The 13,078-nt window shown below is 36.2% G+C and overlaps 2 protein-coding genes across 3 annotated transcripts in view; both read left to right on the forward strand.

Moving 5' to 3' along the window:
- Positions 1 to 13,078, forward strand: part of OR2L13 (olfactory receptor family 2 subfamily L member 13) — a 163,987-nt gene that overhangs the window by 5,796 nt on the left and 145,113 nt on the right. The window lies entirely within an intron of this gene.
- OR2L8 (olfactory receptor family 2 subfamily L member 8) lies at positions 5,886 to 6,824 on the forward strand. Its single transcript, NM_001001963.1, has one exon. It carries the CDS (start codon positions 5,886 to 5,888, stop codon positions 6,822 to 6,824), a length of 939 nt encoding a protein of 312 aa, NP_001001963.1.

The raw sequence follows: 13,078 nt of genomic DNA on the forward strand, positions 1-13,078 counted from the left end.
ATATTTGTCTTTTGTGACGGACTTATTTCGCTTAGCATAATATATTCGAGGTTCATCCATGTTGTAGCATGCGTCAAAATGTCTTCTCTTTTTAAAACTATATATACATACATTTTTATTGATTCTTCTGTAGATGAGCACTTTCTTTCTTTCTGCCTTTGGGCTATTGTGAATAATGTTGCTATAAACATGGGCATAGAAATATTTGTTTGATGCAAAAACAGAGTAACAAATAAGTGGGAGCTAAACATTGGGTACACATGGACATAAAGATGGGAATAGTAGACACTGGGGACTCCAAAAGAGGAGAGTGAGGGAGGAGGCAAGGGTTGGAAAGCTACCTATTTGTACTATGTTCATTATTTTAGTGAAGGGTTCAACAGAAGCCCAAACCTCAGCATCACACAATATAACCATGTAACAAACCACAAATGTACTCCCTGAATAAAAAAAAATCCAAAAATATCTGTTCAGGTGTCTGCTTTTATTTACTGGATACACTGAAATTGTTGGATCATATACTAATTCTATGTTTAAATTTTGAGGAATTCCTACACATATGGTTCCAGATTTACAATAATTTGATGTTTTTTGACTTTATGATGAATTTATCGAAACATAACCCCAGTGTAAATTGAGGAGCACCTGGACATATGATGGTTTGACTTGCACCTTTTTATGTTATGATGAGTTTATCAGGATATTAACTTTTTACTTACAGTATTTTCAACTTATGATGGTTTTTTCAGGGTGAAACTCCACTGTAAGTGAGAAGCATCTGTATCATTTTCCACAGTGCCTTTATTATTTGACATTTCCCCCAACTATTCTTTTATAATTTTTTCTCTTACATTTAGATTTTTGATTCATTTTGACTTAATTTTTCTATATACTATAAAGTAAACATCCAACTTCAATATCTTGAATGTAAATATCCACTTTTCCAAACACCATTTATCGAAAAGACTGTCCCTTCTCCACGAGTGGACTTAGTTCCCTTTTTGAAAAAAGGTTGCCATGTATATGAGAGTCTATTTCTTGACTCTGTTTTCCTCTGTTGGGCTATATGTCTGGCTTTGTGCCAGTGCCACATTGTTTTGATTACTATAGCTTTGAGTAAGTTTTAAAATCAGAAAGGATGAGTCTTTAAATTTTGTTCTTTTTTAAAAAAAGTCAAGATTTTTTGAATATTGAGGATCCTTTAAGATTCATATAAATTTTAGGATGAGCTTTCTGTTTGTGAGAAAAAAGATTTATTTGAATTTTGATGGAGATTCCATTGAATCTTTTTTTTTGCTTTGCATGCTTTATTATTTTTTTAATAATTATTTTATTGTTTGTTTTTAAGTTTCAGGGTACATATGCAGGATGTGCAGTTTTGTTACATAGGTAACCATGTGGCATGGTGGTTTGCTGCTTTTATCAATTCATCACCTAGGTGTTAGGCCCAGCATGCATTATCTCTTTTCCCTAATGCTCTCCCCCAAATTGTCCTCCCCCAACAGGCCCCAGTAAGTGTGGTTCTTCTCCCTGTGTCAATGTGTTTTCATTGTTCAGCATCCACTTACAAGTGAGAACATGCAGTGTTTGCTTTTCTGTTCTTGCATTAGTTTGCTGAGGATAATGGCTTCCAGCTCCATCCATGTCCCTGCAAAGGACATGATCTTGTTCCTTTGTATGGCTGCATAGTATTCCATGGTGTATACGTACCACAATTTCTTTATCCAGTCTATCATTAATGGGCATTTGGGTTGATTCCACATCTTTGCTACTGAGCATAGTGCTGCAATGGACATACACGTGCATGTACCTTTATAATAGAATAATTTATATTAGTATTCTCTGATGATTGTATTTCTGTGGGATCAATGGTGGTATTTCCCTTATGGTTTCTGATTGTGTTTGTTTGAATATTATCTCTTTTCTTCTGTATTTGTCTTGCTAATGATCTATCTATTTTATTGATTTTTTTTTTCAAAAACCAGCTCCTGGATTCATTAATTTTTTGAAGGGTTTTTTGTGTCTCCATGTCCTTCAGTTTCTCTCTGATCTTGGTTATTTCTTACCTTTTGCTAGCTCTGGGGTTTGTTTGCTCTTGGTTCTCCAGTTCTTTCAGTTGTGATGTTAGGGTGTCGATTTGAGATCTTTCTAGCTTTTTGCTGTGGGCATTTAGTGCCATAAGTTTCCCCTTTAACACTGATTTAGCTGCATCCCAGAGATTCTGATAAGTTGTCTCTTTGTTTTCATTGATTTCAAAGAACTTCTTGATTTCTGCCTTAATTTCATTATTTACCCAGGAGTCACTCAGGAGCAGGTTGTTCAATTTCCATGTAGTTGTGTGGTTTTGAGGGATATTTTAATCTTGAGTTCTAATTTGATTGTGCTGTGGTCTGACAGACTGTTTGTTATGGTTTCATTTATTTTGTATTTGCTGAGGAGTGTTTTACTTCCAATTATGTGGTCAATTTTGGAGTAAGTGCCATATGGTGGTGAAAAAATGTATATTGTTTTTGGATGGAGAGTCCTGTAGATATCTATCAGGTCCACTTGGTCTAGAGCTGAGTTCAAGTCCTGAATATCTTTGTTAATTCTCTGGCTCAAGATCTAATAGTGACAGTGGGGTATTAAAGTCTCCCGCTATTATTGTGTGGGAGTCTAAGACTCTTTGTATGTGTCTAGGAACTTGTTTTATGCATCCGGGTGCTCCTGGATTGGGTGCATATACATTTAAAGTGGTTAGTTCTTCCTGTTGAATTGAATTCTTTAACATTACAAAATGCCCTTCTTTGTCTTTTTTGACCTTTGTTGGTTTGAAGTCTATTTCGTCAGAAACTAGGATTGCTACCCCTGCTTTTTCCTTCTTTCCATTCACTTGGTAAATTTTCCTCTATCCCTTTATTTTGAGTCTATGTGCATTTTTGCACATGAGATGTGTCTCTCGAATACAGCACACCAATGGGTGACTTTGGGTATTGTTGACATCTTAACCGTATTAGCCTTCGATAAATAAATATGTAGGATGCATTTCCATTTATTTTTGTCTTCTTTAATCGCTGTAATCAGCATTTTGTCATTTTCAGTGTGTAAAGTTTTCACCTCCTTGGTTTGGTTTATTCTAAGTGTTTCATTTCTTTTTGATACTATTGTTAATAAAATGAGAGTGCAATTTTCAGATTGTTTATTGTTAGTGTATAGAAGTACAGCAGGTTTTGGCTGTTGTTGATGTTACATCCTATAATTTTCCTGATTTTGTTTATTGCTTATCCTAAGTTTTCTACATATATAATTATGTCATATGCAAACAGAAATAATTTTACTTTTCTTTTGAATTAAGATATTTTTATTTCTTTCTTATTTAATTGCTTTGACTGAACTTCCAGTAATATGTTGAACAGAAGCCGGGAAAGTGGACTGTAGTGTCTTGTTCCAAATCTCAGACTAAAAGCTGCCAGTCCTTCATTATTATGATGAAGCTGCAGGTTAAATTCTTAACTGGGACAAAATTTTTACATCACTTTAATGTTTTATTCAAGTAATGCATAGACATAGTCTCAGCAGACCACAGGGTAAAATGTTAGAAACATAACAAACTCTTGCTGACCCCAAAGGCAAGGACTTCAATTTATCTTTCCAGTTTTTCCCCATATTTGCCCTTGTATTTTTAGACAATATGTTCATCTGCTAATGCCTGATTTCTATATCCCAAATAGCATTCCTTGACCCATGATATATGCTAGCATGGATAGCGACCTGCTCCCTCCTCCATAATCACCCCCAGGTTCCTTACCCTTCTCCCATTGTCACAGCAGAATTACATTCCACTTTATGTCTGCAATGAGGGGTTGACAACATCATTTCATCTTACAGAATTTATTGCTGCAATACAAAAAAAAACTATTGCATTTGAACATGATAGTTAATATATTTCAGTTGAGAGAAATTTTTTTAAGAATACTAACTTCACTATTATTTTGCTATATCCCTTTCTAGGAATGTCCTTAAGCACATATTGGTCCTCCTGTATGAATCCCCTCATTTTTCTATCTTCCCTAAATAGCAGTCTTTTCATGTGGTTATTGCTTTTGTTTACCTTCAAATAGAGTTTTCTTACTTTGTCTTTTGAAACTTCCGCTTAATATTTTTATCAATTAATACAATTTTAGTTTTCAAAAGTTCTTTAATGTTACGTGTCACATCCTTTCATATAGCAAATGATATTTATTTTATGGATTTCATAACAGATCATACATCTCTGAAGAAAGGAATTTTGATCACAAAAAACTATTCTTTCTGCATATTTTAATCATTTTAAAGTCAGTGTATTTATGCATATGACTGTGTGTGATTGTGCATATTTGTGTGTGTTTGCACACTGGGAATCTTCCTCGTACATGTTGTTATACTTGCTCCAAATTCTGGTGATCTTTGGCTCTAGACTAATATTTAAGCCTAAAAACTCTGGTTCTTTTAGGCTTACTGTGCAAAGCTGTTTACTGATGTCTTACATCTGGAGTGGAATTTCTAACACACCTCTACCTAGAAGTCTGTCAGAATTTTAGTTTCTTTTTTTTATTTAGGCAATTGCATGCTCCTCCAAGTGCATTCTTTTGAAGGATCCATAAAGCAATGTGTAATGTTATCTAATCACTAGAGAAGCAAAAGACAAAATCTGTAACATATTTGGTAAGGGGTCTGCTTTAAATAGAGTATTCTGAAATTAGGCGAGGAGGCCAAAGAGAATGGATGATGATGAATATTGAAAATCAAGAGTGTGGATTAATATGACTTTCCGTAAAAGGGACATAGCAATAAGGATTTATTCTAGGTTTCTAAATAGGAGGACCAAATTATAACTGACAAAAGAAGTTTGACTTGGCATTATTGCACAAAGATCATTCAAGTTTCTCAAAATGAGAGACAAGCTGCTGCAGTTTTAGAAGTAAATCTGACAGAATAAACATGGGTTGGGTGGGGAGCTGTTGCCTGCAATCACAGCACTTTGCAAGGCCGAGACAGGAGGATTACTGAGGCCGAGGGTTCAAAACCAGCCTGAGAAACACAGTGACACTTCATGTCTACAAAAGTATAAAGTTAACTAGGCATTGTGGCACGTGGCTGTAGTCGCAGCTACTCAGGAGGCTGAGGCAGGAGGATCACTTGAGCCCAGAAGTTCAAGGCTGCAGTGAGCTATGATCTTGCCACTGCACTCCAGCCTGGGTAACAGAGAGAGACCCTGTCACTTAAAAAAAAAGAAAAAGAATAAGTGTGGAAATATAACAGATCATTCTATAAAGGTAAGACTAATTTATTCAAATATAAATCTGTAATGTATGCATTTATAGTGACTTTCTATGCATAGGTATTCAGTATAATATTTGACTTTGAATGTATCTGAGTTTGCGTCAGGCAGTAAACCATTCATATTCTATTGAAGTTGTAATAGAGGTATCTTTCTTATAAATTTACATATTTCTCAGAAAAAAACTAGTAACAAATGTTGATCTCATCAAATGTGAAACTCTGGGTAAGAAAATAAGATTTCTTTTTTCAAAATAGGTAAAAATCAGAACAAAGAAGTCTGAGTACAGTACAATAAAAGATTTTGAGAAAGATAGAGATCATATTCACATATTTATAGTATACTGTATAATTGTTCTATTTTATTATCAGTTACTCTTGTTAATCTCTTACTTGTCTAATTTATTAATTAAACTTTATCAGAAGTATGTATAGACAAAAATAATAGTGTATTTAGGGTTCAGTATCAACTGCAGTTTCAAACATCCACTGGGGGGGCTTGGAATGCATCCCCTGCAGATAAGGGCGAATTACTGTACGTAAATTACTCTTGTGTCTCCCTTCCGAATGGATTGTAGGAATGCTCCATGGAAAATTACAATCAAACATCAACTGATTTCATCTTATTGGGGCTGTTTCCACCATCAAGAATTGACCTTTTCTTCTTCATTCTCATTGTTTTCATTTTCCTGATGGCTCTAATTGGAAACCTGTCCATGATTCTTCTCATCTTCTTGGACACCCATCTCCACACACCCATGTATTTCCTACTGAGTCAGCTCTCCCTCATTGACCTAAATTACATCTCCACCATTGTTCCTAAGATGGCATCTGATTTTCTGCATGGAAACAAGTCTATCTCCTTCACTGGGTGTGGGATTCAGAGTTTCTTCTTCTTGGCATTAGGAGGTGCAGAAGCACTACTTTTGGCATCTATGGCCTATGATCGTTACATTGCTATTTGCTTTCCTCTCCACTATCTCATCCGCATGAGCAAAAGAGTGTGTGTGCTGATGATAACAGGGTCTTGGATCATAGGCTCGATCAATGCTTGTGCTCACACTGTATATGTACTCCATATTCCTTATTGCCGATCCAGGGCCATCAATCATTTCTTCTGTGATGTCCCAGCAATGGTGACTCTGGCCTGCATGGACACCTGGGTCTATGAGGGCACAGTGTTTTTGAGTGCCACCATCTTTCTCGTGTTTCCCTTCATTGGTATTTCATGTTCCTATGGCCAGGTTCTCTTTGCTGTCTACCACATGAAATCTGCAGAAGGGAGGAAGAAAGCCTATTTGACCTGCAGCACCCACCTCACTGTAGTAACTTTCTACTATGCACCTTTTGTCTACACTTATCTACGTCCAAGATCCCTGCGATCTCCAACAGAGGACAAGGTTCTGGCTGTCTTCTACACCATCCTCACCCCAATGCTCAACCCCATCATCTATAGCCTGAGGAACAAGGAGGTGATGGGGGCCCTGACACGAGTGAGTCAGAGAATCTGCTCTGTGAAAATGTAGAAACACTTTCTGCCTAAGGTCTCAGGACTCAGATACACATCCATTCAGCAGTGTATAGTAATTAAAATATTATGTCCTTCCTAGAGTGCAGGACTAAAACTAACCAACGGAAGAAGAAAATCACTGATATATGGACAAAATTGTTTTACAAATATATATATAATTCTAAGAAACCTTTTTTCTTGATGGCCTTTTTCCAAAAATTTTGAAAGTACATATTTTTGCTAATATGTTGTCAATAAGAATTTTTTTTTTGGTCATGCAGAAATGAAAATGAAAATGGCCTAACTGAAGTTGGCACTCAGCATAACAATTTTATTATTGTCAATTTATTTTCCAGTAATTAAAATTTTTTTTTGGTTATGTCTAAAACAAAACCAAAAATCTCTTGACTTGGTGGATCTAATTGAAAGCCATAAGATGTTTTCTGTTTCTTATCTTAGACACTTAACGTACCAGTTACTCTTTCTTTCAATTTAGGGGGACTTATTATTACTGAGATTTAGCAGAAGGCTCATCAGTGGTTCTTAAGTCCTGATACCACTCTGGATGGCCTGTGACAAGTTTATGCTTTCTGTAGTGGAATGAATCCCAGGGAAATGATTTAACATCAGGTAAATTTTAGATCAACAACAAGTATTGGAAGATGCCATCAGTGATCAAGAATGATTACACTTAGGTCTTTAACCCATTTTATGTTGATTTTGGTATAGTGTAAGAATTGGGAGTTTAGTTTCATTTTTCTGCATATGGATATCCAGTTTTACAAGCACCTTATATTGAAGAGACTGTCAGTTTCCCAATAAATGTTCTTGGCATTGTTGTCAGATATCATTTAACTATGTCAGGCACAGAAAGACAGATTTTGCATGTTCTCACTCCTACCTAGGACCTAAAAATTTTAAAAATTGAGCTAATAGAAATAGATAATAGACTGGTGGTCACCAGAGGATCGGAAGGGTATAGGGGAGGGGGGATAAAGTGGGGACGGTTAATGGTTGTAAAAATATAGATAGCACGAATAAGAGCCAGTATGTGGTAGCACAACAGAGTGACTGTAGCAAACAATAATTCATTGTAGAATATATTGTATATATTAAAAAATAACTGAAAGTTTGGAATTGGAATGTTCCCAACAGAGAGAAATGATACATATTTGGGGTGCTGGTTATCCCAATTACCCTGATTTGATCATTACACATTGTACGTGTTTTTCAAAACATCACATACACTCTATAATTACATATTACTATTATGTATCCATAGTGATTAAAAATAAAAAATTAAATCAGTTAGCTAGAGATACGTGGATTTATTGCTGAATTCTCTGTTCTGTGTCATTGTTCTATGCATCTGTTTTTATGCCAGTACTATTCTGTTTTGATTACTACATCTTTGTAGTATAGTTTGAAGTTTGCTACTGTTATGCTTCCAGCTTTGCTCTTTTTTTCAGGATTGATTTGGCTGTTTGGGGTCTTTCATAGTTCATACAAATCTTAGAATTGTTTTTACTATTTATGTGCAGATGTCATTGGTATTTTGACAGACATTGCATTGAATCTGAGGTTTGGTCATTTAAATAATAATAATTCTTCCAATCCACAAGCATTGGATGTCTTTCGATTTGTTTGTATTCTTCTTCATTTCCTTTCATCAGTATTTTGTAGAAATAAATTCTATTGTTCTCTTCTATGACTAAAGTTAACAGTAAAGTATTACATAGTTAAAATTCTTGAAATGCTCTTTAACATCATTTCTATTTCTAAGCCTGTGGATATTTGTTTTGCAATGTTGTTGCAGTTAAAACACACATTTTGAACTTGTCTTATGAATCAGAGTAAGTCCTTTTTGTGTTTTGCTGCAATGAGCAGTGTATATTTTTATTTTGTAATAGTTTGCTAACAATGTTTACTGCTAATCTTCCTGGCTTTTTCTTTTCTGATATTCAATGAATACAACAGGCGTGGGCTCTGGGACAGAGGGAAAATAGGCATCCCATCAGCAGTCACTTGCTGCTGCCAGGGCAAGCACCTCCTCTCTTCCAAGCTAGGGACACTTGGACCCTACTGCCACCTGCACTGCTGCTTCTGTCATCACCATCAATATGAGCCCAGGCATACCCCAGACACTGCTTGGGTCCTGTGGTGCTGTGAAGTATTACAAGATGTGTGTGTGTTTGTGTGTGTGTGTGTGTGTGCGCGCGTGCGCGCATGAGAAGACCAGGCCAATTGCCCCATGTGGTTGTTGCCTGAGCCCACTTGTGTAGTCACTACCAGTGGACCCAAACTGCGTGCTAACACTGCCAGCCTGTCTAGCTCCTCTATCACATTCATACTCAGAGATGAAATTATTAGATATTTCAATGACAACAGAAGAGCATGAAACCATGCATGGAGCCCTTTGAGTGTGAACCCTGTGCATATGCCCGTGAGGCCAGTCCTGAGAAGGATGGAAAGAGTGGACAGGAAGTGAATGACATCATGCAGTCTAGGATAGTGGTGGGAATGTGTGATGGTCTGAGTGTTTGTATCCTCTGAAAATCTATATGTTTAAATCTAAACCCCTAAAATGAGAGTATTAGGAGTAGGGGCCTTTTGGGAAATGATTAGGTCATGAGGGTAGCACCTTCTTGAATAAGATTAATGCCTTTCTAAAGGAGGCTCGAGGGAGCTTGTTCATCCCTTCTACCATGTGAGGTCACAGTAGACGGTGCCATCTATGATGTCATAGAAGCCACCATCTATGAACCAGAAAGCAAGATTTCTCCAGACACTGAATCTTCAGGCACTTTGTCTTGGACTTCCCAGCTTCCACACCTCTGAGAAATATGTTTCTGTTGTTTATAGGTTACCACAGTTTAAGATATTTTTTCATAGCAGCTTGAATAGTCTAAGAATGTCTGCTGTTTTTGTTAATTATTATTATTGGAAAGAGCCTGAGGGAGGACTGAATTAAGCAGTGGTGTCTGGTTCAGACCCTATACCCATTTCAGGTAGTGATTCATGGAGGGAATCAGGAGACCTAGCTCTGTGATTTTCTCTGACATACCATGGCCTTGGGGAAATCATTCCATCTCTCTGAAGTTAGTTTACTGAAAAACAATATGGGTGCCTTGTACCTGATCAGTAAATGGCATCACTGACATTTACTGCTGACATTCCTGTAGAGGCAATGGTAATCCTATTTTTCATGCCAATGACCCTGGGATTGGAGATAAAGAGGTCACCCCTCTAACATGCTGTCTTCACTTAGAGGCCACTCCTTTCCCCTTAAGGTCATTAAGAAGAACAACAGAAAAAGAAGTCAAATTATTCAAATCTACTGTCATTTACTACATTGTTTATGAGAATGTACTCCAGATAATTTTGAAAGTTGGACGATAATTCCTCTTGATGGGGAAATTAACGAATTCATTACCTCACAGAGTCCTTGGCTCACTGTTCATTGTGCCTCGTTTTAGCCATTGTTCTTTGTATGCAAATGTTATGCTGTGGTTATTATTTCGCACTTCACAGTCATTCTTTAATTGTTTCATGTCCTTAGACTAGGAGATGCAAATTTTATATCATGCGGTATCTATGTATCTATGTGGATTTCATAACATAGACTCTGTGCATTTAGAGATTTCTTATGTATTACATTAGCAAAATTTGATTTATGGAAAGGGACATGAGTATTCTTTCTATTTTAAAGGATGAGTATCTTTCTCATCACAAGAAGCTGTGGTTCAATAGTCAAATAGAGCTGTGGTTCAATAGTCAAATAGGGTAAATTGAAGGAATGAATGATATGCCATCCACAAATATGCTAAGTTGGCATATTTATTAGTTTGAGCTGAAAACATTGAAGAAATTTTGGTTAACATTAGAGGAAGAGGTTATCTGACCTGTCTTTTTTGGCATGCAGCAAGCTCTAAAGATTCCTCCAGGAGTCTTTGGTACATTCTAATACTCTTTCGGTACCCTCCCTGTAATGGAATATAAAATAGCCCTTATCACTACAGCCTGGGAATTGGGGGAATGCAGTGTACCTGAATAAATAAACTACCAGAATTAACTCTTATTTTTCACTATCTTTACACCCCCATATACCTCCTAGGGACTCCCCTGGAATTTATGGTTTCGAGCCAGTGTCTCTTTTTTTTTCTTTGTAATTTTTTCTGCAATTTATCATTCTGTTTCTAAAAGTATAAAGACATCTTGCTTTGACCATTTATTTAGATTTCACACTCTTGTGAGGATTCCCATGTACATGTGAAATGCATAAAACTCATATGCTTTTCCTTCATTAATCCATCTTGTATCAATTTGTTTCCTATACCTGGGCAGAAAGCTCACATAGGAGATAAAGCGGGTGAGGTGGAGGTGATCCCTCATGTTTCCACAGAAGTAATAAGTAGCTTCCTTTTGTAAGATTTATGTCAACCACCACTACTAAATTTTTTTTACTTGCCTTTTAAATCTGGAAAAAAATAGACAATGACTTTTAAAGGCTAAATATCTTTTCAATTACTGAATAATTATTCAGTACTTACAGCATGGTAAGAAAATGCAAAGATATATACATGGATTCCACAAATTGGATGGAGGTCAATTTGACATTTGGGACTTAATCTCTGCTATTTTGTCTCATTACCACAAATTCAACATAAGATCCTTTTAATTTTGTCTGCTAAATATTTTAAAATACATTTATATTCCTAAATCCCTGGGATCACTGCCCTTACTTTTCATAGGGTTTTCTAGTTAAATTTAAACTGACATTAAAAATCTGATTGTATCAATCAAGGTCCTTAATTGAAAGTGAAATATAAAATGTCTTTTCTTTTTTTTTGATTTTTTGAGTACTGCTAGATTTAATTGCTAGTGACTACAAAATTAGTAACTTATTTCATGTGTTTAAAAATGCAAAACTGAATTTCTGCATAACAAGATAAGGAGGATAATCAGTGGATATTTAAAGCATGCCAACGTTTTCATCATGTTCAGGAGGAAGATAAGAATACGACTTGAAAATTGCTAGAAAAAGATCATCATTATGTATACATTAAGACTTTCTCAAAATTACAATTATGTATACAGTACAACTTCTATTTCTGACAGTATGTTGCACTAAATAACCTGAAATTTGCCATTCATTCATTCATTCAATATATATATATATATTTTTACTTTAAGTTTTAGGGTACATGTGCATAACGTGCAGGTTAGTTACATATGTATACATGTGCCATGTTGGTGTGCTGCACCCATTAACTCGTCATTTAACATTAGGTATATCTCCTAATGCTATCCCTCCCCCCTTCCCCCACCCCACAGCAGGCCCTGGTGTATGATGTTCCCCTTCCTGTGTCCATGTGTTCCCATTGTTCAATTCCCACCTATGAGTGAGAACATGCAGTGTTTGGTTTTTTGTCCTTGAGATAGTTTGCTGAGAACGATGGTTTCCAGCTTCATCCGTGTCCCTACAAAGGACATGAACTCATCTTTTTTTATGGCTGCATAGTATTCCATGGTGTATATGTGCCACATTTTCTTAATCCAGTCTATCATTGTTGGACATTTGGGTTGGTTCCAAGTCTTTGCTATTGTGAATAGTGCCACAATAAACATATGTGTGCATGTGTCTTTATAGCAGCATGTTTTATAATCCTTTGGGTATATACCCAGTAATGCGATGGCTGGGTCAAATGGTATTTCTACTTCTAGATCCCTGAGGAATTGCCACATTGACTTCCACAATGGTTGAACTAGTTTACAGTCCCATCAACAGTGTAAAAGTGTTCCTATTTCTCCACATCCTCTCCAGCACCTGTTGTTTCCTGACTTTTTAATGATCACCATTCTAACTGGTGTGAGATGGTATCTCATTGTAGTTTTGATTTGCATTTCTCTGATGGCCAGTGATGATGAGCATTTTTTTTCTTTTGGCTGCATAAATGTCTTCTTTTGAGAAGTGTCCGTTCATATTCTTCGCCTGCTTTTTGATGGGATTGTTTTTTTCTTGTGAATTTGTTTGAGTTCATTGTAGATTCTGTATATTATTAGCCCTTTTTCAGATGAGTAGATTGCAAAAATTTTCTCCCATTGTGTAGGTTGCCTGTTCACTCTGATGGTAGTTTCTTTTGCTGTGCAGAAGCTCTTTAGTTTAATTAGATCCCATTTGTCAATTTTGGCTTTTGTTGCCATTGCTTTTGGTGTTTTAGTCATGAAGTCCTTGCCCATGCCTATGTCCTGAATGGTAATGCCTAGGTT

The sequence above is a fragment of the Homo sapiens genome, chromosome 1, assembly GCF_000001405.40.
Source record: "Homo sapiens chromosome 1, GRCh38.p14 Primary Assembly".
Lineage (NCBI taxonomy): Eukaryota > Metazoa > Chordata > Mammalia > Primates > Hominidae > Homo > Homo sapiens.